Genomic DNA, 23212 nt, shown 5'->3' with positions numbered 1-23212 from the left:
AAAGCTGCCAAAGAAGATTTGCCATCTTTCAGTGCCCATAAGGAGAATTTCTCATGAAATAAAGGGTAACAATAAGTCAGTCTCATTGGGTGTAAGCAAACCAACACACTAACATCTGCACCAGCACCATCAACAAATGTTTGGCATTCAGTACTATGTCTGACAACTTTGTGCGCACTTTTATCACTGAATCCTTAGAGCCACACTAGAGGATAGGTATTACCTTCACTTGCAGATGACAAAACTGAGGTTCACAGGTTAATTTATGGAAAATTAAGTGAGAAAGGCAGGATTCGTCAGAATCCTTCATAAAGCAAGGTGCCTAAGAATGTAGACAGGACTCTAGAAACACCAAGATTCAAGTCTGGACTCTGTATGACCAAATCTGCAAAACCAGAAGATAAACAATACTTCTTAACCTGGTTCTTTTGTTAATTTTATCATCATATGTAAAGCATTAAGCTCAGTGCTGGCTGCAAATAAGTGCCTCGTTAGGGTCAATTTGATGTAGTGATTAACAGCACAGATTGGGTAGCCAGAATGCTTGGGTTTAAGAGGCACTCTACCATTTACTAGCTGTGTGACCATGGCAAGATCCTCAATCTCTGTGCCTAGTTTCATCTCTAAAGTAGAAACAGTATTAGTACCAGGCCGGGCGCCGTGGCTTATGCCTGTAATCTCAACACTTTGGGAGGCCAAGGCGAGGGGATCACGAGGTCTGGAGTTTGAGACCATCCTGGCCAACATGGTGAAACCCTGTCTCTACTAAAAATACAAAAAATGAGCCGGACGTGGTGGCAGGCGCCTGCAGTCCCAGCTACTCAGGAGGCTGAGGCAGAATTGCTTAAACCGCGGAGGCAGAGGCTGTTGCCGTGAGCCGAGATGGCGCCACTGCACTCCAGCCTGGCAACAGAGTGAGACTCCATCTCAAAACACAAAAACAACAACAAAAACGAAACAGTATTAGTACCAATCTCACACAACTGTGGTGCAGATTATTAAAAGTACTCTGTACTGGCCAGGCGTGATGGTTCACGCCTGTAATCCCAGCATTTTAGGGAGCCGAGGCGGGAGGATCACGAAGTCAGCAGATCGAGACCATCCTGGCTAACACGGAGAAAGCCCATCTCTACAAAAAAATTAGCTGGGCGTGGTGGTGGGTGCCTGCAGTCCCAGCTACTCGGGAGGCTGAGGCAGAATGGCATGAACCTGGGAAGCAGAGCTTGCAGTGAGCCAAGATCGTGCCACTGCACTCCAGCCTGGGCAACAAAGCAAGACTCCGTCTCAAAAAAAACAAAACAAAACAAAACAAAACAACAACAACAACAAAAAAAAACAAAAAAGGACTCTGAACTATATCTGATCCATATTAGGTGCTTAATAAATGAGGGCCATTATTATCATTGATAAATGCATGCTAATGATTATCATCTTTTAGTCCTATCTCCAAAGCATGTTTTTCATTCCACCATGTCTCCCTTATAAAGAACAAAATGAGAAATCATATAACTTCCTTACTTAAAATTTCCACTTAGATATCTTTAGCAGAATCTTCAGATTCCAGATTTACACTCCAACAGAGTATAAATTGCTCTCCTCCCAAACGGGGCAAAAACTGCTTCTTTACAAGTTTTTCTCATCTCAGTAAGTTTCCTAACACCTAGAATTTATCTTTTATTCCTCCCTGTGCACAGCAAATCCAAAACATCATCAAGTCCAAAATCCATACATCTTTTTTCCAAATCTAAGACAGTCCAGCCCTTGTCACTGTCTTTTCCTGGACTACTACAAACGTATTTCTGCTGCCACTATTTGCGTGCGTTAAGTGTGTGTGGCCACTTTCACAAGGCAGGAGTAAGAAAACAAGATTGGCCATCGAAAACAAAACTACCCAAATGGAAAATAAAGAAATGGATCCAGAATTCAAGAGGGAAACACCAGAAGCATTCCCATAATGACAAGAAAAAGACAAAAATACTTGTCATCAATACTACTATTTGGTCCAGTTTTAGAAGTAGTAACTGATAAAATATGACTCAAAAATGAGAGGTAAAAATAATAGAATAGAGGCAAAAAAGATCAACATGAAAAAACAATTTCCTTTCTATATGCCAAAAATAATCCAGGAGAAAATGTTGATGGGAAAAGATCTTAATCATTAACAGCCATAAAGTAACAGGAATAAAGCTAGCAAAAATATTTAAAGTCATATATGATTATATTTTATTGCTGGCTATAGAAGACACTTGAAAGTGAAGAAACTTGTTCCTGGATATGAAGGTGTAACAATGCTCTAAGTTTAATTCAGTTATAAGAAATTGTTAACAAGAGTCTGCAAAATGATTACAAGTGATTTAAAAATTCTGTAAAGCAAGTGGGGAAGTAACCCTCTAAAAAATTTCAAAAAGAAGAGGTTGTGAAGAAGGGAATCTGCATTATCAGGAAATAGTTGAACAGCACTGCATTGCCAGAGAGCACTTTGACTGAACAGAAAAAGTAACCCAGAAACAGATCCAAGTATATGTCAAAGATACTATTTCAAGGATTAGCATTTTAAATCAGTGGAGAAAGGGAATATTCAGTACTTGAAAACTTTTTAAAATGAGATAATAAATAAAAATAATCCCAAATGATTAAAACATTAAAAGTAAAAGACGAAATCATGAAGCTATCAGTGAATAAGTATTTTTATACATAAACCATACGTGGCAGATTTCACTTGTTAATGTTAGAATACATCAAAAGCAAAGCAAAAAAGCAAACGCCTGAATATATTCTGCAAATGAGTTCTATCACCTTTAATGTTAGTGAAAAATGTTCTCAGATTCTGGTCATGACCCGGTTTGGTGGCTAAGTTTGTCTTTTAAAATATTATTAACTAAAATCCCATTTTTAATCTAGAAGCCACTTGATCAAAACCTAAAGATTATTTTAAAAATTGGGTTACCAATGGTGAGTTACAAGGTATTCTGGGTTGTAAAAAAGGTTGTAGTTTAGGAAAAAAAATTCGTTTGGCATTCTAGCTCATGCCTGTAATCCCAGCACTTTGGGAGGCCAAGGCGGGAATATTGGTTGGGTCCAGAAGTGAGACTATCCTGGGCAACCCTGCAACACCCCATCTCTACAAAAAATAAAAAAATCAGCTGGGTGTAGTAGCATATACCTGGGGTCCCAGCTCCTTAAGAGGCTGAGGCAGAAAGATCACTTGAGCCTGGGAGGTTGAGGCTGTAGTGAGTTGTGATTGCACCACTGCACTCAGCCTAGGAGACAGAGCTACAGCCTCTCTCAAAATGAATAAATAAACAAATAAAAATCAATAAAAAGTGTTGGCTGGGCACAGTGGCTCACTCCTATAATCTCAGCACCTTGAGAGGCCGAGGCGGGAGGATCAACTGAGGTCAAGAGCCTGGGGCCAGCCTGGCCAACAGGGTGAAACACCATCTCTACTAAAAATACAAAAATTAACCGGGTGTGGTAACAGGCCCCAATAATCCCAGCTACTCAGGAGCCTGAGGAAGGAGAATCATTTGAACCCAGGAGGTGGAGGTTGCAGTGAGTCGAGATCGCACCACTGCACTCCAGCCTGGGCATTATGTAAGAGCGAAACTCCATCTCAAAACAACAACAACAAAAACAAAATGTGTTGCAGGGGATGGGAAAAGACGCTATTAAAACTGAAAGGATGAAAAGAACAGGACTCCTCAGGTATAACTAATATGTTTCAGAGTCAGAGATTATTTCAGATTTGGAAGAAGTCAAATAATTTATTTCACTTAAAGACACACAAGACCCAGTGTTGTAAATGATCTGGAAGATAAACATAGAGGAACATCATTAAGTAGAGTATTATCACTCAGCTTTCCAGGAAATAATGAGAAATAGTTAATCTCTGTGCTAGTAGGAAGAAAGGGAGCGGCTGAGTTTTACTGAGTGTAATGCAAAATGTTTATACGCTGCAATGCTGTAGGCAAACTTAAGATTTGGAAGGTTGCGCGTTATTTAGAAATATTTGAAATCTAAAGCATCATTAACATCCTACTTTCATACAAAATGCCCACAGAAGTGTGATCACCTACAGTACCACACTCAAAAAAAAAAAAAATTGTACATAATAGAACATCTATCCAAAAAAGATCAAAGAGGTTATGTGGGGGCTGAACGAAGACTGGTGATAATTCTAGCGACATAAAAAAACAGCATCAGCTGGGCGCAGTGGCTCATGCCTGTAATCCCAGCACTTTGGGAGGCCGAGGTGGGCATATTACCTGAGGTCAGGAGTTCGAGACCAGCCTGGCCAACATAGTGAAATCCCATCTCTACTAAAAATACAAAAATTAGCTGGGCATGGTGGTGGACGCTTATAATCTCAGCTACTCAGGAGGCTGAAGCAGGAGAATTGCTTGAACCCAGGAGGCGGAGGTTGCAGTGAGCAGAGATCGCACCACTGCACTCCAACCTGGGCAACAGAGCGAGACTGTTTGAAAAAAAAAAGAAAAGAAACAGCATCACTTATTCAGGAAGAATTTAGATCCATGGACCTTCAAATATTTTTCTTCTAAATATACAGCATCTAACAAACAAAACAGTTAAATATTTATTTTCTGCCTTAAAGACTTTCAATTTTGCCAGAAAGGGAAGAGCTTCGAAAGTAAATAATATTTATGTTTTACAATGTTTCCAAGGAGTATGAGAGAGATGGTACCATTGGGAATACGAGAGAACCTTAGATGTACAGTTTCAAATCACTCTTTTTTTTGTCAGACGGAGTCTTGCTCTGTCGCCCAGGCTGGAGTGCAGTGGCGCGATCTCGGCTCACTGTAAGCTCTGCCTCCCGGGTTCCCTGCCTCAGCCTCCCGAGTAGCTGGGACTACAGGAGCCCGCCACCACGCCTGGCTAATTTTGTTTTTTGTATTTTTAGTAGAGAGGGGGTTTCACCCTGTTAGCCAGGATGCTCTAGATCTCCTGACCTTGTGATCCGCCCACCTCAGCCTCCCAAAGCACTGGGATTACAGGCATGAGCCACCACGCCCGGCCTCAAATCACTCTTACGTACAAAATTCAAAATGTCTCATCTGGTTATTCTTGCCTTTGGTTCAGGGGTTGGCAAACTTGTTCTATACAGGTCCAGTTAAACATTTTAGGCCTTGCGAGCCAGATGGTCTGTGAAAACTATTTAACTCTGCCATTGTAGCTTGAAAGCAGCCCAGACGACATGTAAATGAATGGGTGTAGGTACCTCCCAAAAAAGCTGGACTAAAATAGGCCCAGATCTCTGTTCCAGAATAAAAAAGACAAATGCAATATCACAACCAAATGCAATGCATGAATCATGACTGGCTTCCGGTTTGAGAGATGGGGTGAAAGTGGTAGGGAGATGGATATAAAAGACATCCTTGGGGATGTTGCTCTAGACCAGATGGTGAACACCTCAACCAGGGCAACTTGTTGCAACTGATGGCAGTATCAAAGGGAGATGGGAAAAGTGGGAGGCATTTAAGAGTTAAAATTGGCCGGGCGCGGTGGCTCACGCCTGTAATCCCAGCACTTTGGGAGGCCGAGGCGGGCAGATCACAAGGTCAGGAGATGGAGACCACCCTGGCTAACATGGTGAAACCCCATCTCAACTAAAAATACAAAAAATTAGCCGGGCATGGTGGCGGGCGCCTGTAGTCCCAGCTACTCGGGAGGCTGAGGCAGGAGAATGGTGTGAACCTGGGAAGCAGAGCTTGCAGTGAGCCGAGATCGTGCCACTGCACTCCAGCCTGGGCAACAGCGAGACTCCATCTCAAAAAAAAAAAAAAAGAGTTAAAATCAGCAGAGTACAGTAACCCACTGGCCTGTGAGACATATAGGAGAGGGAAGAGTAAAGCATGATTTCAAGGTTTCTAGATGGGTGGTTGGATGAATGGGGGTGGCAACTATTTGAGCAAAGGAACGCAGGAGGAGGAAGTGGTACGGGGCAACACAAAGAGTTCAAGTTTGGACATACTGAGTTTTGAGGGGCCCAACATCAGCTGAAGACTTCCAGAAGAGGACCTAAAATGTGGCGAGATCTGAAACAAAGCCTTGGGAGGGAACAAAAAGGTTTGCATTTGACATTCAGAAGATCAGTGACTTCAGCAATAGAGTTATTTTAGTCAAGTGAGCAGAAGCCAGATTATGAGAGACTGATGTAATACATTAAAGACTGCAAGTACAGACTATTCCTTCAGTAACACTGAAAGGGGGGAGGGAGAAATTCTGTAATAGCCTCAAAAGAGTATGGGAATTTTGCCGGGTGTGGTGGCTCACACCTGTAATCCCAGCAATTTGGGAGGCCAAGGCAGGCAGATAGCTTGAGCTCAGGAGTTCAAGACTGGCCTAGGCAACATGGCAAAACCCCATCTCTACAAAACACACAAAAATTAGCCAGGTGTGGTGGTGAACGCCTGTAGTCCCAGCTACTCAGGGAGACTCACTGAGGTGGGAGGATTACTTGAGCTGGGAGGTTGAGGCTGTAGTGAGCCGTGTTCATGCCACTGCACTCCAGTCTGGGTGACAAAGTAAGACGCTGTCTCCTCCAAAAAAAAAAAAAAAAAAAAAAAAAGAGTATGGAGGCTTAAGAAAATTTTTTTAAGGATAGAGAAGATCTGAGTTTGTTTATCGTCCAAGGGGAAGGTGCAAGTTGCAAGCAAGTAGTAGAAGTTGCAAGACAGCAAGGAGGTACACCGTGCTAAAAGCCCAATGCAAGAGCACGGATGGATGGGGATGGACAGCATTTTAACCTTTAAATATCTCCAGAAACTTTAATGTTAACACTTTTGGTTAAAACATCCCAATTATTGGTCATTCACCATTATGCCTCAAATGTCTTTTTCTTTAAAAAAAAAAAACTACTTCAAACATAATAGATAAGGCCATAAAAGAGTAATATAAAATATACTCATACACCTTAAGAAATGCGTTACTAATATGGCAGAAAAAACTCGCAGGTATTCTCTCTCTTTCCTTCGCCAGTAGGTATACCAGTGGTAATCACTCATGTAAATCTTTATATCTCACTACATTTGAATTCATCCCCTAAGCAATACATAGTGTTCTATATGCTTTATATTTTATATAAACACTAACATACTGTGAACAAACAAGCAAGCAATACATTCTTGGGACAACTAGCAAAAATGTGGATATAAACTATCAGAAGATATTGTTGTTGTTCTTTTACTTAGGGGTGATAATGGTATTGTGGTTGTATAGGAGACTATGCTTATTCTTAGGATAATTACCTGTGGAAGGATTAAAGTTGAAGTGCCATAATGTTTGCATACTTACTTTTAAGTGGTTCAACAATAATGTGCACATGCATGCATATATGAGAGAGAGAAAGAGAGGTGTGTCAAGTCAAGATGGGACAATGTTAACCACCACCAGTTTTGGGTGGAGGGTATACGAGTGTTCACTATGTTAGTCTTCTTAATTTTTCTGTATGGATCATGTCAGGTGGATAAAAAATAGGATAGAACACTTTGGCCTATAAGAACAATATTGCTCCTGTTGAGCCTAGTCATCCCCCCAAAGCCTTCACTTTCATTACATGGTTTGTGGGCCCCCATATTAAACAGTTATTTCACCTCTTTGGGGTCTAAGTGGTCAACTGCAAAAAAGAGGTCTCAAGTCTCAATTTAAACCATCAATAAGTGTCTGAGGCACAGCCCCAAAATGGCAGCCCAGGGCTGGTCTGCAGAGTTGTCTAGTTTGACTAGCACAGGATTCTAAAAAAATTAAAAATGAGAATGTAAAAAAGCCAAATACGAATAGATCAAACAAAACAAAACAAAACAAAAAACCAAGCCAACACTATGTTCTCCCAATTCTGAACTACATGTAGTTCACAACAAAGAATGTTTGTGTTTCTGGGCTACTGTGCACGCTGTTTATACTAACTAGTACCTTGTTCTTCACTGGCCTCTAGGCTACTTCCTAATCTGTAAAATGAACATGATACTATCTACTCTGTAAAAGAAGTATTAAATGAGTTAGTAGTGTGTGGGCACAGTAAGCACCCCATAAGGATTAGCCACTGTATCGTTATTAATATTAATAACTTGGTAGGAGCTGGAGATACCTAACTCATAAGAGGCCTTCACTGACTCTCCTGGTCTATTTTGCAAGCTAAAGTTTCTATTACCAATCCTAGTAACACTTAGAAAGATGTTTTAATGTAAATATGTAAAATATGCTGTTAAGTGGGGATTCATAAATTTTTTAAGAGACAAAAGTACAAATCTGGCTCTTCTTTGGAATGCCTTGGCTTCATCATCTGCATTTTCTAGTTGTTTTTTGAGATTGAATCCAGGCTTCAGTCAGATTGCTGCACCCTCCTCACTTCCACCTTAGCCTCCACATCAATGCAGTCCACCCTAGTAAAATTCTTTTAGAAATAGGCATGACGTTTTTCCTTCTCAGACATTTTTTGAAAGCTTCTTCCTATGCCCACACCTGAGGCCTTCTTCTCATCTGAACCCACACCTGTAACACTTTTGATATTTTTGACTCATAGTTATTTTTGAGAAGCAAGATTCTTACACTCCTGTTGTTTCCATCCAAAAACAGGTTCTCTTCATTTCCCCAAGTGAAAAGGCATATTTGACATATTTTCTAAATATACTATCCCACTTCACTGTCTTGTTCAGTACCATTCCACCTTCCTTAGCTCACAGCAGGTACTCCATCATCTGTTGTATAACTAACCTCTCCCGAAGTTTTTAACCACATTTTTCATTATGCTGATGACCAGTACATTTGCTTCCAATCTGACTCCCCAGATGAACTTCAAATGACTAATTGCCTACTACTTGGCATTAGATCTAGTATTAACCAAACTCTTCTTGAAGAGTACAGGTCCTTCTATAAGAGTTATTAGGAAGATAATTTATTTGGCACCTAGATACCAGGCATTAAGGTAGTTCCTTTAATAACATGTCATGTAATTAAGTCTACACAGCAGCCTTATAGGGTTGGGTACTACTGTTTTACAGATTAGCAAAGAAGGTCAGATGTGTTATGGCCAAGCTCACACAGGTAATAAGGTGCTGGGAAATTAGCAAGTAAATATTAACTCAGGACAATGACTTAAATTTGTATCCTTTCCAATAACAATGTGCCTATGCTAGAAAACTCACATTTGTGTCCTCTTCCTCATTACCAATCACATCCTGTATGTTGCCAAAGCACAGCATGGTGGTTACAAGCATATCTTTGGAGTCAGACAGATCTTGATGTGAGTCCAGGATCTGCTACTTATTCACTGTGAAATACCATAATATATTACAATGTACAGAGTAGTTCTTGGTATATAAAAGAGAGCACAGGTATAGAAAGTGAGTAACTACCTGGCACAGTTAGGAAAGACTGCTCAGGCACATAGAGCAATTAAGTAACCTGCCCAAGGTCACACACACTGGGATATGGGGGCACCGGGATGTAAGGCCCTAGTCTATCTGATTCTAGAGACTTCCTTCTTTATCAGTATGCTATACTGCCTCTAGAAGTGTGTTCTTGTATGGGCACCTTCATTCCCCCTCAACCCTAGCACCTAATTCTCTACCTGGCTTGTGGTAAAGCTTTCAAATAGTTGGATAAATGAATGGATGGACAGACTAACAGACCATCAAAACTTTCCAGAACATGTTGAAACAAACTGGGTTTTGAGAAAACCTGTAATCACATACCAGATTTATTTTCTGCCTCACCATCACTACCAAGCTCAGAGAAGCCACTCTGAGACAAATAACTGAATGCATTTCCTCTGTTTGAATATAATTTCTATGAGTGCCAGTCTTTTTATGGCATGTGGTAACTGAATGAGCCTGGGCAAGTTATTTAACATCTTGGTATGTCAGCTGCCTCTACTGAAAGTGGAGGTAAGAACTCAGTCTCACAACGTTGTTGAAGATTAAATGCAATAATATGTATAACTGCTCAGCACATGGCCTGGGGGGAAGGGTGCTCAATTTTAGCTACAGTCTTATAGTCAACTTTAGCTATAAGCTCCTTATTAAAATGGGCAGAACCTGAAGGGAGAATCAGTAATTAAAATAATCATTTTAAAGTAGGTAACTTACAGGAAATATTCTAAGATTCCCCATTCATAACTCCCTATAAAGAACTCTTACATTAAAGCCCACATACTGATGAATACAAATACATCACCAAAAAGCTACGAATTTATCAACTTGCTATACAGCTAATGATGATAAGGTGTGAGTCTCGTAAGAAATGCCTTCTCTCACCTGACTGGTTTTTGCTGTTCTGCACCTCTCCGTTATTTTGTGGCTGTTGATTTGTTAAAGCACTGCTTTCTGACTGGCTGTTTAACACCTTAACAGCAGATCCAAGGTTTGCTGCTATAACAGGAAAATGCTGACCCCTCTTTAGAAGCTGTTTGTGTTCCTGGTGGCGAAATCGTGGAGGTACTTCACGAGGATACCGAGGCAAGGCCTGTGGCTGCTGCTGTGGCTGCTGCTGCTGCGGCTGCGGCTGTGGCTGCTGCTGTGGCTGCTGCTGCTGCGGCTGCTGCTGTTGCTGCTGCTGCTGTGGCTGCTGATTGTTGGCTGTAGCTCGCTTGGCATTATTATTAGTGCTGGTTGCTGTGGAAGTGCCGTTATTAGAGTTGGCAGGCTGAGGCTGGCTTACACTGGGCTTTATCTGTTCTGGCACTAATCCCAACAAAAGAAAAGGGGTGGAAAAGATTAGCCAGTAAAGTGTACCTCCAAAGTAAGCCATCTAAATTCAAAGGCACTAAGAAAAATAATCCTAAAAAAACAGAAGCTTTCTGTGAGCAGGGATATCCTCATTTACAGGCTCAAATTTTGTTAGGAGATGTCACTGCCAAGAGTCATATTTCACTTCTGCTACCTACCTACCCAATAAGGGCCCAGGGACCTTCGGCCAAGACAACAACTCATGTTCACTATCTCTTTTACCACATTACTCTCTGGTCAAAGACATCATCATCGGATCATTACAAAACCAGGGAACTCGCAATGACTCAAAGAACAAATGTGGCCAACCAATTTTCAGTAGTCCTAAGGGAATCCTCTATTCCTTGGCAACTGTTCTTATTCTGCCTCATTGTTAATGTGTTTGGTCTCTATTTTTCATCTTTGGAAGACAACACAAGAACAACACAAGGTTAGAAAACAACCTGCTGGTTTTCTTACAAAAAGGCTAAGTTAACAATGTCTGTATTTGCTAAAAATGTAATATCTGAATCATATAAGACAAACTCAGAACATGGAACTAAAGACAAAGATAACGTTATCTATGAGATGAATCAAAATGAGATAAATAATCTGGATGCTCTATCTTAAATCTGAAAAATAAATCGGAAACTGCAAATAGGGAAATTTTTGACTCATAAAAGAGTGGAAAGAAAGAAATAAAACGGATGGAAATGCCTTAAGCTAGTGTAAGTAAACCCAGTTGGAGAAGTACAGAGATGCATGGTGTATGAGCTTTTGGTGCCAGGTTTCAACCCCAGCCCTGCCTTTACAAGCTTTCTGTCTTTGGGCAAGTTGTATAAACCTAACTGAGCCTGCTGTTTTCTCGGTAAAATGGAGATAGTACCTACACCTTGCAGAGCTATCCTAAGGTTAAATGTCTTCATGTTTATAAAACACAGAACATAAGGCTATATAAACAGTGGCTATTCGTTAATGACTGACACAATACCACCTTATACTTTGGTAGCAGTTGAATGTTTCTATGAAATGCTGTAATGTATCCTCACAGATACCACTGTCAGATAAGTGAAGTGAAACACCCCCATGTTACTGGTGAGGGCACTCAGAGAAAAATCTCCATTCAAGGGTTAAGAGCTCCCACCCTGGAATTAAAACAGCCCACTATTCACCATCTGAGTTACCTCTGTGTCTTTCTCCTCCATAAAGTAGCAACAGTCTTGGTCAAGTGCCCAGTGTGTTGTAACCACTCAGTAAACAGAAGTGAAGTTATTACTGTGTCCAAAAGAAATCTTTATCAAATGCCTACAATATATATGACAATGTCATTAAAGCCTTGGTCACCTGAGTTTACAATAGCCACCAACTTCCTCTTCCACACTCTCAGCTCTAGCCTCCCTTCACCTAACAAACTGATCTCCCCATTTTCTTTCTTCTCTGAACATCTGGTAAATTTAGTCTATGTCATTTATACTTTTTTAATATAATATATGATCTTAGCCTCTTTTTTTTTTTCCATGTGACTTCCATTTTTCTAAAGTAATACAAATTGTAGTTCAGGAAGAATTACAGTGAATAATTACAAATATTCCATCTACTGTTTATAATCCTTTCCATTCTTGATGCTCACTGATGAGTCTCTTACTGATAATTGGGGCAAAGTGCTTTCTAGGCCTAATTATGGGTGAAAATTTTGTCTCCCAGACAATATAATGCTTCTAATATGTAACAATAACGTATATTCCTTCGTGTACCTCATGCAGTAATAAGCAGACACTGGCTATCAAAAACACTTCATGAAGACCATATGGCACTAGAATATTCTAAAGTACCTCTGAAACCTAAGGAAGATAAAGTACAGGCAGCCCTCCACATCCATGTGTGCCCCACCCACAGATTCAACCAACCATGGATCAAAAATACTAAGCAAACAAACAAACCAAAAATAAAAATATAAATAAAAACCAATGCAATTATTTACACAGCATTTACATTATATTTGGTATTGTAAGTAATCTAGAGATGATTCAAAGCATATAGAAGAATGTGTCTAGGTTATATGCAAATACTACACCATTTTATATAAGGGACTTGAACATCCATGAATTCTGGTATCTGTTGGGGGTCCCGGAACCAATGCATCACAGATACCAAGGGACAACTGTATATGTAACATTATGAGGAACATAAAAATGCTTACTCAGCTTTTACATGCTTAGTACTGGACTTAGTGTGGCATCTGGCAATTGAACATCAACTTAAGGTGGCAGCTACCTGCTGCTGTAATACAGGTTTGTTGCCACTTCATTACTTTAAAAATCTAAACATTAAAAAAAAAATTGTGACAGTTTTAGGTCCAAACAAAGTCTGTGAGAAAGGAGCAGGAAGATGCTTTTTATTTATCAAAGAACCAGAAGAAAACCTATATACAAAAACTGTGAATGATCTATATGAAGGCATGAACTCAAGTAACTGCTGTACTTCTGATCAGTAAAGTACCATGTGGAATACAAAGCTGAGATAGGTATTCATTTCCGGGGCCAGAAAGCTTCATTAAAACCAGTAAAGACATCAAGACAATGTAACTACTGATTATTACATGAAGCTAATCTGAAGTACAATCTTAGATACAAAATAAGACATAGAAGTAATGAGTGCAGAAGGAGTAAACAGTGAACGTAGGTGGGGGTTGCTAGGTAACAAATATCAATACTGACTAATACTGGCATGGTTTATGTGTAGTTAAAAATTTTAAGTTAACTATGTTCATAATCACCCAAACCACTGGAAGGGGGGAAAAAGGAAAATTAGAAAACTTCATCTATTCAACGGACATGGAAAATGGAATTTTAAAAAATTTCAAAATTCTGGTTAATGCAAACTAGGATGCTAAATAGAAGCCCCCAATTATCTGTGTCACAATAAATGTGAATGGGTTAAGTTCACTTGTTAAAAGATAAAGCCTCTTAAACTAAGAAAGGAAAAACAATATACTTCGCAAAAAGCACTCCTAAAACAAAACAATGCAGCAAGGTTAAAAAAAAAAGTAGAGAGGAAGATATACAACCAAGAAAGGCTAAGAAAATTAAAATGAAAACAATATTGATATCAGACAAAATTCAAAGAGAAAAGCATTATAAAGGATAAGACAAATTTCATATTCATAATAAAAAAAACAACTAAAAAGATATGAGCAATTAAGCACTTTCATATGCCAAGCCTCATAATACCAAAACATGCAAAATAAATGGAGACAGAGAAAACCGGAAAAAAGCAAAACCATGTATCTTGAAAACAGGTAACATCTTTTTGACAAATGCCCATGAAACAATCATAGGTTAACATGCATGCATGCATGTACACGCGTGCACAAACACACACACATGCATGCCATACAGCAGCAAAGAAAACATCAATAAACTGCAAAGGCTAGAAATAATACAGTGGATATTTCTGGATTACAATACAATGTCACTAAAATGATAAAACTAGCAAATAAAAATCTGCCTTAAATAAATTTCAACTGCATAACACAAATTTTGCAGCTAAAAACAGAAAAGAAAAAGAAGAAAAAAGTACATTTCAAGATGAAGAAGAAATAAACACTAAATTACAGGGTTACCAAGAAATTAATACTGGAAACACTGCATACAATACATTTTAAGATCCAGCTAAACCAGTGCACACAAAAAAATTCATAGCCTTATTTCCAACAAGAACATAATAATCCAACTCAAGAAGGGGGAAAACACCCGCACATACTAAAGTAAAGGAAATAGAAAGACGGAATTAGTAAATATAAAAGAGAGATCAATGACTTTTAAAGTAAATCTATATAATCCAAGGCATGCTTCTATGAAAAAGAATAGTTAAAACTTTATTAAAAAAATGAAAATGGAAAAAAATAACCTTCGGCAATTAATATATTTATGTTCAAATCTATAAATAGTTTGAAAAGCTGGAGGAGGGAGTAATTTAACACTGACTATAGAAGAGGCAGGAAATCTAAACAGATTAGCTAGTTTACATAGAAGAAATAAGACAAATTTATGAAAGTGTCCATCAGGATCAGATAATTTCCCTGATGAATACTACCATACTTTTTCTTTTTCACTAGTATATACTTGTTTTTGGAGACAAGAGTCTCGCTCAGGCTGGAGTGCTGTGGTGCAATCTTGGCTTACTGCAACCTCCACCTCCCTGGTTCAAGTGATTCTCATGCCTCAGCCTGAGGAGAAGCTGGGATTACAGGTGTGTGCCACCAGCCCCGGCTAATTTTTCTATTTTTAGTAGAGATGGGGTTTTGCCATTGGCCAGGCTGGTCTCGAACTCCTGATCTCAGGTGATCCTCCTGCCTTGGCCTCCCAAAGTGCTGGGAGCCACTGCACATGGCCTTTAATAGTGTTTTTTTTTTTAGGCAGGGTTTTGCACTTGTTTCCCAGGCTGGAGTGCAATGGCGCGATCTTGGATCTTGGCTCACTGCAACCTCTGTCTGCCTCCCGAAGTCTTGCAACAACAAGACCTTGTTTCAAAAAAAGAAAAAAGAAAAAGAAAAAGAAACACGTATCTCTAAATCTAATCGCATTTAAATTATTGGAGAGCACAGTAAAAGATGGAGCACCAACATAACACTGTTACCAATAAGTCAGGCTAAATTTTGGTCATCCCAAACAATGGGAATAAAAACAAGAGATATAAATAGCACTGGGAATGAAAAAGACACAAATTCAAACGTGGAGATTACCAAAAGACAAGAAAATACTATGTACAATCTATCCCAGTAAAACAAAACCCAACTAAATTGAACTATGTTATACAACAGGGGTTGGCAAGTTCTTTCTGTAAAGATGAGAGAGTAAATATTTTGGGCTTTGCAGACCACAGAATCTGTGACAACTACTCAACTCTGCCAGTGTAGCACCAGAGCAGTCATAGACAACAGGTAAATGCAAACAAATGGATGTGACTATATTTCGTAACACTGCATATGCAAAAACAGGCAGTGGGCCAGATTTCACTTGCAGACTGTAGTTTTCCAAACTCTGCTTTATCAAATATAATTTACCAAAATAGGCTCACAGAGGAATAGAAGGTCCTATAGTATAACAGCAGAAACTCTGAAAGGGTCTCCCAAGATTTATCCCTCCAAAACACACCAGGAATACAAAAACAAAAAAGCCAGGCACAGCAGCAGATGTCTGTAGTCCTGAGGCAGGAGGATCGCTTGAGCCAAAAAGTTCAAGTCAGGCATGGGCAATATGGTAAGGCCCCAACTCCTGAATAACATAACATAACATAACATAACATAACATAACATAACATAACAACATAACATAACATAACATAAAACATAACATAACATAACATAACATAACATAACATAACATAACATGCACCAGGCTCAGATAACTTTACAGGGGGCGTGTGTGGATGGGTGTGTATCCTCAAGAAACATGTAATATTAATCTTACCTAAACTGTCCCAGGACAAGAAGTATAGGTTCAAAAGACTGGATGGATTCAAATCTCAGCTCTGCAACTTACTAGCTATATGACCATGGGCAAGGCACTTAACCACACTGCCTCTGCTGACTCACATCTCGAATGTTTTGGTCTCAAGGTCCTTTATACTCTGAAACACTGAGAACTCCAAAAGGTTTCGTTTATGTGTGTTGTATATACATTTACCATAATAAAAGTTTAAACAAATATTTTAAGTGAGTTAAAAATAAATTTATTACATACGAACATACATACATTTAAAAAAAATTGTTCTATTTTCCATAACAAAATTAGTGAGAAGCATGGCACTGTTTAACATTTCTGTAAGTCTCTCTAACATCTGGCTTAACAGAAGGTAGGTGGATTATCACATATGCGCCTGCATCCAATTTGTTGTGGTATCCCACACTGTGTCACCTCTGGAAAACTCCACTATATACTCATAATAAAAGTGAAACAGGCAAATAAAGTCTTCCTGTTATTATGAAAATTGATTTGACCTCATGGATCTCATGAAAGAGTTTTGAGGAGCCTCCTAGGGATCCTGTCCTCAGGTAAACTTCGAGAACCATTGCTACAGAATATGCACACACGGGATGCAACTGAATATATGGTTCTGGAGTTCAAAAAAGTTTGGATTAAAAATATGGATTTAAGATTCAACATACAGGTGAGAAAAGAGTTGTAGAGGAAGAAATGACAAAACCTAAGAATGGGTTTAAGCAGCAGATAGAAGGAGGGAAGTAAAGGCAAGAATAAGTCATAACTGCCAGAGTGACGGGAGAGAAACTTCATTTTAGGTAATGGCTTAACTATCTATGTAGTTACTCAAGCAGGAATTTCTTCCTCAATTTCTCCCTACTCCCCTGTATCTAGTCAGTCAACAGGCCCAACAGAATACCTCAAATTCAAATGCATCCTGTGTCTCCAACGCCACTTCTTTGATTTAGGCCCTCAACAATTTACTCTCACAAAAACCTCCTAATGGGACTGCAGGCCTGGCTCAAGTCTTGATCCCTGCCCCACCCACTTTCACGCATCCCGAAATCTATCATCTACCTGCCCCAAGTTATCTGTATCATAAAACCACTTTTGGAACTCCTTTCTAAACTCCTTGGCATGGCCCCTCTCTACCTTTTTCCAGATTCATATCCTGCTATGTCCACACTCACTGCATTCTCTTCTACCACACCAAATACTTGCAATTCCCCAAAACGTATCACGTTCTTTCACGCTATTTCTTTTGCTCAAAATGCCTTGATACCTTTCTTGCAAATATTTTTGTCGTTTTTGCCTAGAAAACATCTAATTTCCCCCACCCCCAGACTGGGCGTATCTTAGAAGCATGTTATGTTATGACAACCAGATTGCCCTCCTCTATTCTGATGAAACTCTTACAAATCCCTTACAATGCAGTCAATGTGCTCTGTAAGTGCTGGTTTCTTATTTCTCCTTCACTTTATCACTAGCATTTCCTGAACCAAGCAAAGCAAATGCTGGTTGAATGAATAATCCAGGAATTGCCAAGCATACACAAAGTGACTGGATCTATGCAAAACAAGATAGAACAATACTGAGGATTAAACACTGTGGAATATCAATATTCAAGAGGTGCAATAATGAAGAACCAGTAAAGAAAAGAGAAAGAATGATCAAGAGGAAGAGTAAGTAAGAATGATGGTCACTGGTTAGTATGCTGCTGAATGCATCAATAGTTTTAAATAAATCTCTGCTCTAAAAAACACCTACAGCTGGCATGGAGAGAGCAGGACAAGACCAGCCACTGAGATCATTAATGTGAGAAGGTTCTCTAATTAGCCCTGAGACTGCCCTGGTCCATATCAAAAAAGATTTTAATGGAAAAGAGTTACATTTAGCTAGGATAAAACATAGATATCTAGTAAAGAGCTCTATTTTTAGGGTTTTTTTTTTTTTTTTTGGTCATACTGTGACCCCACCCATCTATTTCACAGTTTTAAAGAAATGGGAAAAAAAATTTTAACTGGTCCAAAAATGAACAAGTTAAACTTTTAAGAATGGAAAAATTATCTATTCAAAGAATTCACCCTACCTTTTCCTAGTCTGTGTTCCAAATCAGGACCCCCCACTTTGTGAAACAATGAAATGCACCAATAAGACAAATAAATTAATTTTTGCTAAGCTTTGCTATTCTACAAGCTTTCTTGATATTTCTTATATAAAAACATATCATTCTGTAAGTCTAAAACTGTTTTAAAAAATAGCCTCTTAATTGAAAAAAAATAGCAATTGTCTTATATTCACATGAAAACCCAAGAACAGACAATATAACCAAAGTTCTAAATATACCAAGTTCTAAATTTGTAATACCATTTTAATTAATACTTCTTTAAATGTTTAAAATACTTTATGTCACCTTAATAAACTGATTTCAGAAAATATTTAATGAACTTCACTTTGACTATCTACAAGTTTAACAGAAAGAAGTTAAATGTGGACCAGCCAACAATCATCTACCAATCCCCAAAACATCAATTTCCATGCCTTAATACCTCAAGCCCTTACATTATTCCTATCTGTCAAAGTCTACTATTTAACTTTGTATAATAGTTTTCACATTGGCTACTTTGTAAATCTTCTAAAACACTGGCAGAAATACAGTACACAAAACGCTGCTTTAACACATGATGTCACTTTAAGAGACTGGAGTGCTAAGTTGACCTCTAGAAAATATAACTTAGTAAACACCTATAAAATATACAGTGCATTTTAATACTTCTCTTGGCAAACTTTAAATTTACCTAAAATTGCTATTTCTATATGTGTCGTTATATAGGAAAACAAAAAACCATCAAGTTAAGCTCCTAAAAGACAAGATGGAGTGTACCAATGACAGCTCTTCAGTTAGAAAATGTTATTCTCAAGTAAGAGCAACAACAAAGGATTTTCCTAAGTATCTTTCATTGCAATTAAGATTTTTTTTTTTTTTTTTTTTTGAGACAGAGTCTCGCTCTGTCCCCCAGGCTAGAGTGCAGTGGCACGATCTTGGCTCACTGCAAGCTCCACCTCCCGGGTTCACGCCATTCTCCTGCCTCAGCCTCCCGAGTAGCTGGGACTACAGGCGCGCCCGCCACCACGCCTGGCTAATTTTTTGTGTTTTTAGTAGAGACGGGGTTTCACCGTGTTAGCCAGGATGGTCTCAATCTCCTGACCTCGTGGTCCGCCCGCCTCAGCCTCCCAAAGTGCTGGGATTACAGGCATGAGCCACCGCGCCCGGCCCAGGCACACTTTTTAAAAGAAAAAAATTCAGATTGCCTATTAATCTCTCTTCCATAACATAAAAGTACAGAATGGCTCTCTTCAAATTTGCTTATTAGAACTGTTTAGAAGCAAAAGATTCTTCAGCCTTACACTTACTAATCAGAATCCATATATTTAAAAACAAGTATCACATGGGGTTCTCATGTCTGAGTAAGTCTGGAAAACAGTTCTGGAAGACACTGTAGCAATCTCTAGAGAGCTTCAGCTTCCATTTGTGACTCAAAATTTAAAAATAAGAAAAAACATAAACATAATACCTGAACATTCAAGTAGAAGTTAGTTCCCACTGAGTTTTTAATTCCCTAAAGTTATATAATAAAGAAACTGTCATTAAATCACTGAAGATATAAATTAGTTAAGAAATACAGAATGGTTAGTTGATTTTTTAAATTAGGAAAAAAGTCCCAAATATACAGTATAAAAATAAACTTCAGCTAAATTAAACAATTAATACTATAAAATGCTAGAGATTTTAAAAGCTTTTGCAAAACATGGGCAAACTATTTTCTAAATCTGGAAAAATGGTATGTTTTCTCAGCATAGCAATTAGTCAAGAACTTTAAGAATAAAAAATAAATTTGATAAAATAGATAAAATACTGATGTGTATTTTTTCAAATGTGTATATTCCAATTTAAAAGGGAAACTGGAAAATACCTGTCCTTTAGAACAAATTAAAGGGATCCATTCTGTTCCTTCCCAACCCTCCTCACCTCGACTTTCCCTAATCTAAGGAAAGATATGTTTTAGTTTAAGGATACTAAATCTAATACAGAGAAGCATTCAACACACTAGAGTTTAGGACTGAAGTCCAAGCTAATAGTACAAATGTGATTTAATTGTGCTTTCCTCCTTCTGAACATGTATTTGCATCTTCAGCGTATGTATTCCCAATGGGGCACCTGGGATTAGGCAAAATTTAGATATTCTTGCCTCGTATCTCATCCTCAGAATGACTTCATATATACGATATGGTCCACAATGTGGGAAATATTTGCATCAAATACATCTGATGAAATGTTAATGAGTTTATTATACAAAGAGCTCAAGTAAACTGCTAAATAAAACTCTAGGTCCAAGAACTAAATGGGCAAATAGTAAGGATGGGAAATTCATAAAAAGAAAAAAGTGTGGCCGAGCACAGTGGCTCACGCCTGTAATCCCAGCACTTTGGGAGGCCGAGGCAGGTGGATCACTTGAGGTCAGGAGTTCGACACCAGCCTGGTCAACACAGTGAAACCCTGTCTCTACTGAAAGTACAAAAATTAGCTGGGTGTGGTGGCAGGCGCCTGTAATCCCAGCTACTCAGGAGGCTGAGGCAGGAGAATCGCTTGAACCTGGGAGGTGGAGGTTGCAGTGAGCTGAGATCGCGCCATTGCACTCCAGCGTGGGCGACAGAGTGAGACTACACGTCAAAAAAAAAAAAAAAAAAAAGATAAAAAGAAAAAAGTACAAGTGATTATGCATGGCAAACAAATAAATACAAGTCAAAGAAAAAAGACCAATTTTGGCCTGCCAAATTTATGAAGTTGATAGATCCCATCCTCATGTTTTAAGACCTATTCCTTGCACTGCACTGTGATTCACCTTTGCTGGGCTGGGTTCTACTTTAATGGGAAGCAAAAGCAAATCACTTCTGGGTATGGAGGAACCCTGAATTAGCTGGAGAAACTGCTAGCATGTCATTTCAAGGGACTGAAAGGTTGCTAGGATATTGCAAAACCACAATGGTGGATATTAAAATTTACCAAGTATCAGCTAGATGCCAGGCAATGTATCTGTTATCTCTTTATTCTCTTTGTGAGTCCATAAATTTGAAATATTATTCCCATTTTACAGATGAGGCAAATGCAGTTCAGAAAGCTATTCATGCTCGAACGTCTAGTAAATGGCAGAGGTGAAATTTAAAACCCAATGTGACTCCCAAACAAGTGTTCCTTCTAGTATACATTATTTTCATCTTAATTATAAGGGCAAAAACAAACTCTCTAAAAATAAAGGGCTAAGTACCGATTAACCACTTTAAAAATTATTTCATAGCCATTAATGTTTTTTTCATATCTACTTCCTGTTTCCTTTGTCCTGTAGATCAGTCTCATCAGACATAAATTTCTACCAAATTTAATAAATGTATTAGTATTTAAAAGCAACAAATCTACGTTTGTTAGAAATAATCCTTGCCTAAAGCCAAAACGGGTCTCCTTAGCATTCTTCATAGCCTCCCTGAGTACATAAATCTAGACTTACATGTATAAATCTATGGAAATCATTTTCCTTTCACAATAGGAGGAAAGAAAAAATAGTGACTTTGTTACATGATCTACCTAAAAATAATCATTTTATTAACTATTTCCCATGAAAGTGGAAGGCCATTTTTTTTTCATTCTGTTAGTGCAGAGCTACAAATCTTATTTGTTACATAGCTCAAAGACATCTTCCACAGGAAGAAAAATACCTGCCATTAGTAAATTCTTAACCGGTATGAACCTATGCTTCTATTTTAAAGAGGTTAGTGCACATATGCCTTCTAAATATCTCATAAAAAACCACCGTAGCACATTTAAAATCCTGGTATTATTACTTAATACCACCCTACAACACAAAAATCATTTCTACTATGTAGACTGTGGAGAAAAACAGTGAACTAAGCCCCAACTGTAACAGCAGAACTACCCAACCTGTGTGATGGAAACAGGCTATGGGGAGATGGGGTGACTAGACTTGACTCTCTGGGATTGTCATCTTCAGCTGTGAGTGGCCTTTTCTGTTTACCCTAATGGCCCTGCAAGTATCATTTTCTCTGTGTATCATTAGGTTACATGCTTGAAGTTACAAACTACTTGAGCCTCAGTTTTCTCCTCTGAGAATCCAGGCAGTACAGTAACCCCTATGAAGCCATCAAAGTTCCTGAAATTCGTTATAATAGAAGGCTTGTAATTGGGAAACTTAAGGTCTTATGGATTCCCACAAAAATTAAAACTGGAACTACCATATGACTCAGCAATTCCTCTTCTAGGTATACAGTAGTCCCCCTCCTTTTCCAAGATTTCACTTTCCAAAGTCTTACCCCATGGTCAGCCACAGTACAAAAATAGGCGAGAACAGTACAATAAAGTATTTTGAGAGAGGGACCAAATTCTGATAACTATTACAACAGATTATAATTGTTCTATTTTATTTTATTATTAGTTGTTAATCTCTTACTATACCTAATTTATAAATTGAACTTTATCATAGGTATGTTGTATAGGAAAAAGCATATTATTAATAGCATATATGAGGTTCAGTACTATCCGAGATTTCAAGCATCCACTGGAGGCTTGGAACAGATTCTCTGTGGATACAGGGGGATTACTGTATACCCAAAGGAAATGAAATCAGAACCATGTAGAAATACCTGTACTCCCATGTTCATGCCAGCATTATTCACAATGGCCAAGATATGGAAACAAACAACCTATGGATAAATAAAGATGAATAAATTGTGGTCTGGGTGCAGTGGCTCAAGCCTGTAATCCCAGCACTTTGGGAGGCTAGGTGGGCGGATCATTTGAGGTCAGGAGTTTGAGACCAGCCTGGACAACATGGTGAAACCCCGTCTCTACTAAAAATACAAAAATTAGGTGTGGTGGTACGCGCCTGTAATCCCAGCTACCCAGGAGGCTAAGGCACAAGAATCATTTGAACCCGG

General features: G+C 38.7%; 1 protein-coding gene across 49 annotated transcripts in view; it reads right to left on the bottom strand.

Moving 5' to 3' along the window:
* Positions 1 to 23212, bottom strand: part of TNRC6A (trinucleotide repeat containing adaptor 6A) — a 216014-nt gene that overhangs the window by 38589 nt on the left and 154213 nt on the right. For 39 of the 49 annotated variants that reach the window (XM_024450231.2, XM_017023145.3, NM_001351850.2 and 36 more), the window contains one exon: positions 10272 to 10697. The exons of 9 other annotated variants lie outside the window; for them this stretch is intronic. In XM_024450231.2, the coding sequence (XP_024305999.1) occupies positions 10272 to 10697 (426 nt within the window). Of the gene's footprint in view, positions 1 to 9161; positions 9280 to 10271; positions 10698 to 23212 lie in introns of those variants that run through there. One more of the 49 variants, XM_005255257.5, reaches the window with a different exon arrangement.

The sequence above is a fragment of the Homo sapiens genome, chromosome 16 (genome assembly GCF_000001405.40).
Source record: "Homo sapiens chromosome 16, GRCh38.p14 Primary Assembly".
NCBI lineage: Eukaryota > Metazoa > Chordata > Mammalia > Primates > Hominidae > Homo > Homo sapiens.
The sequence above is the reverse complement of the archived record's forward strand: the minus strand, read 5'-3'. Positions and strand labels throughout refer to the sequence as shown.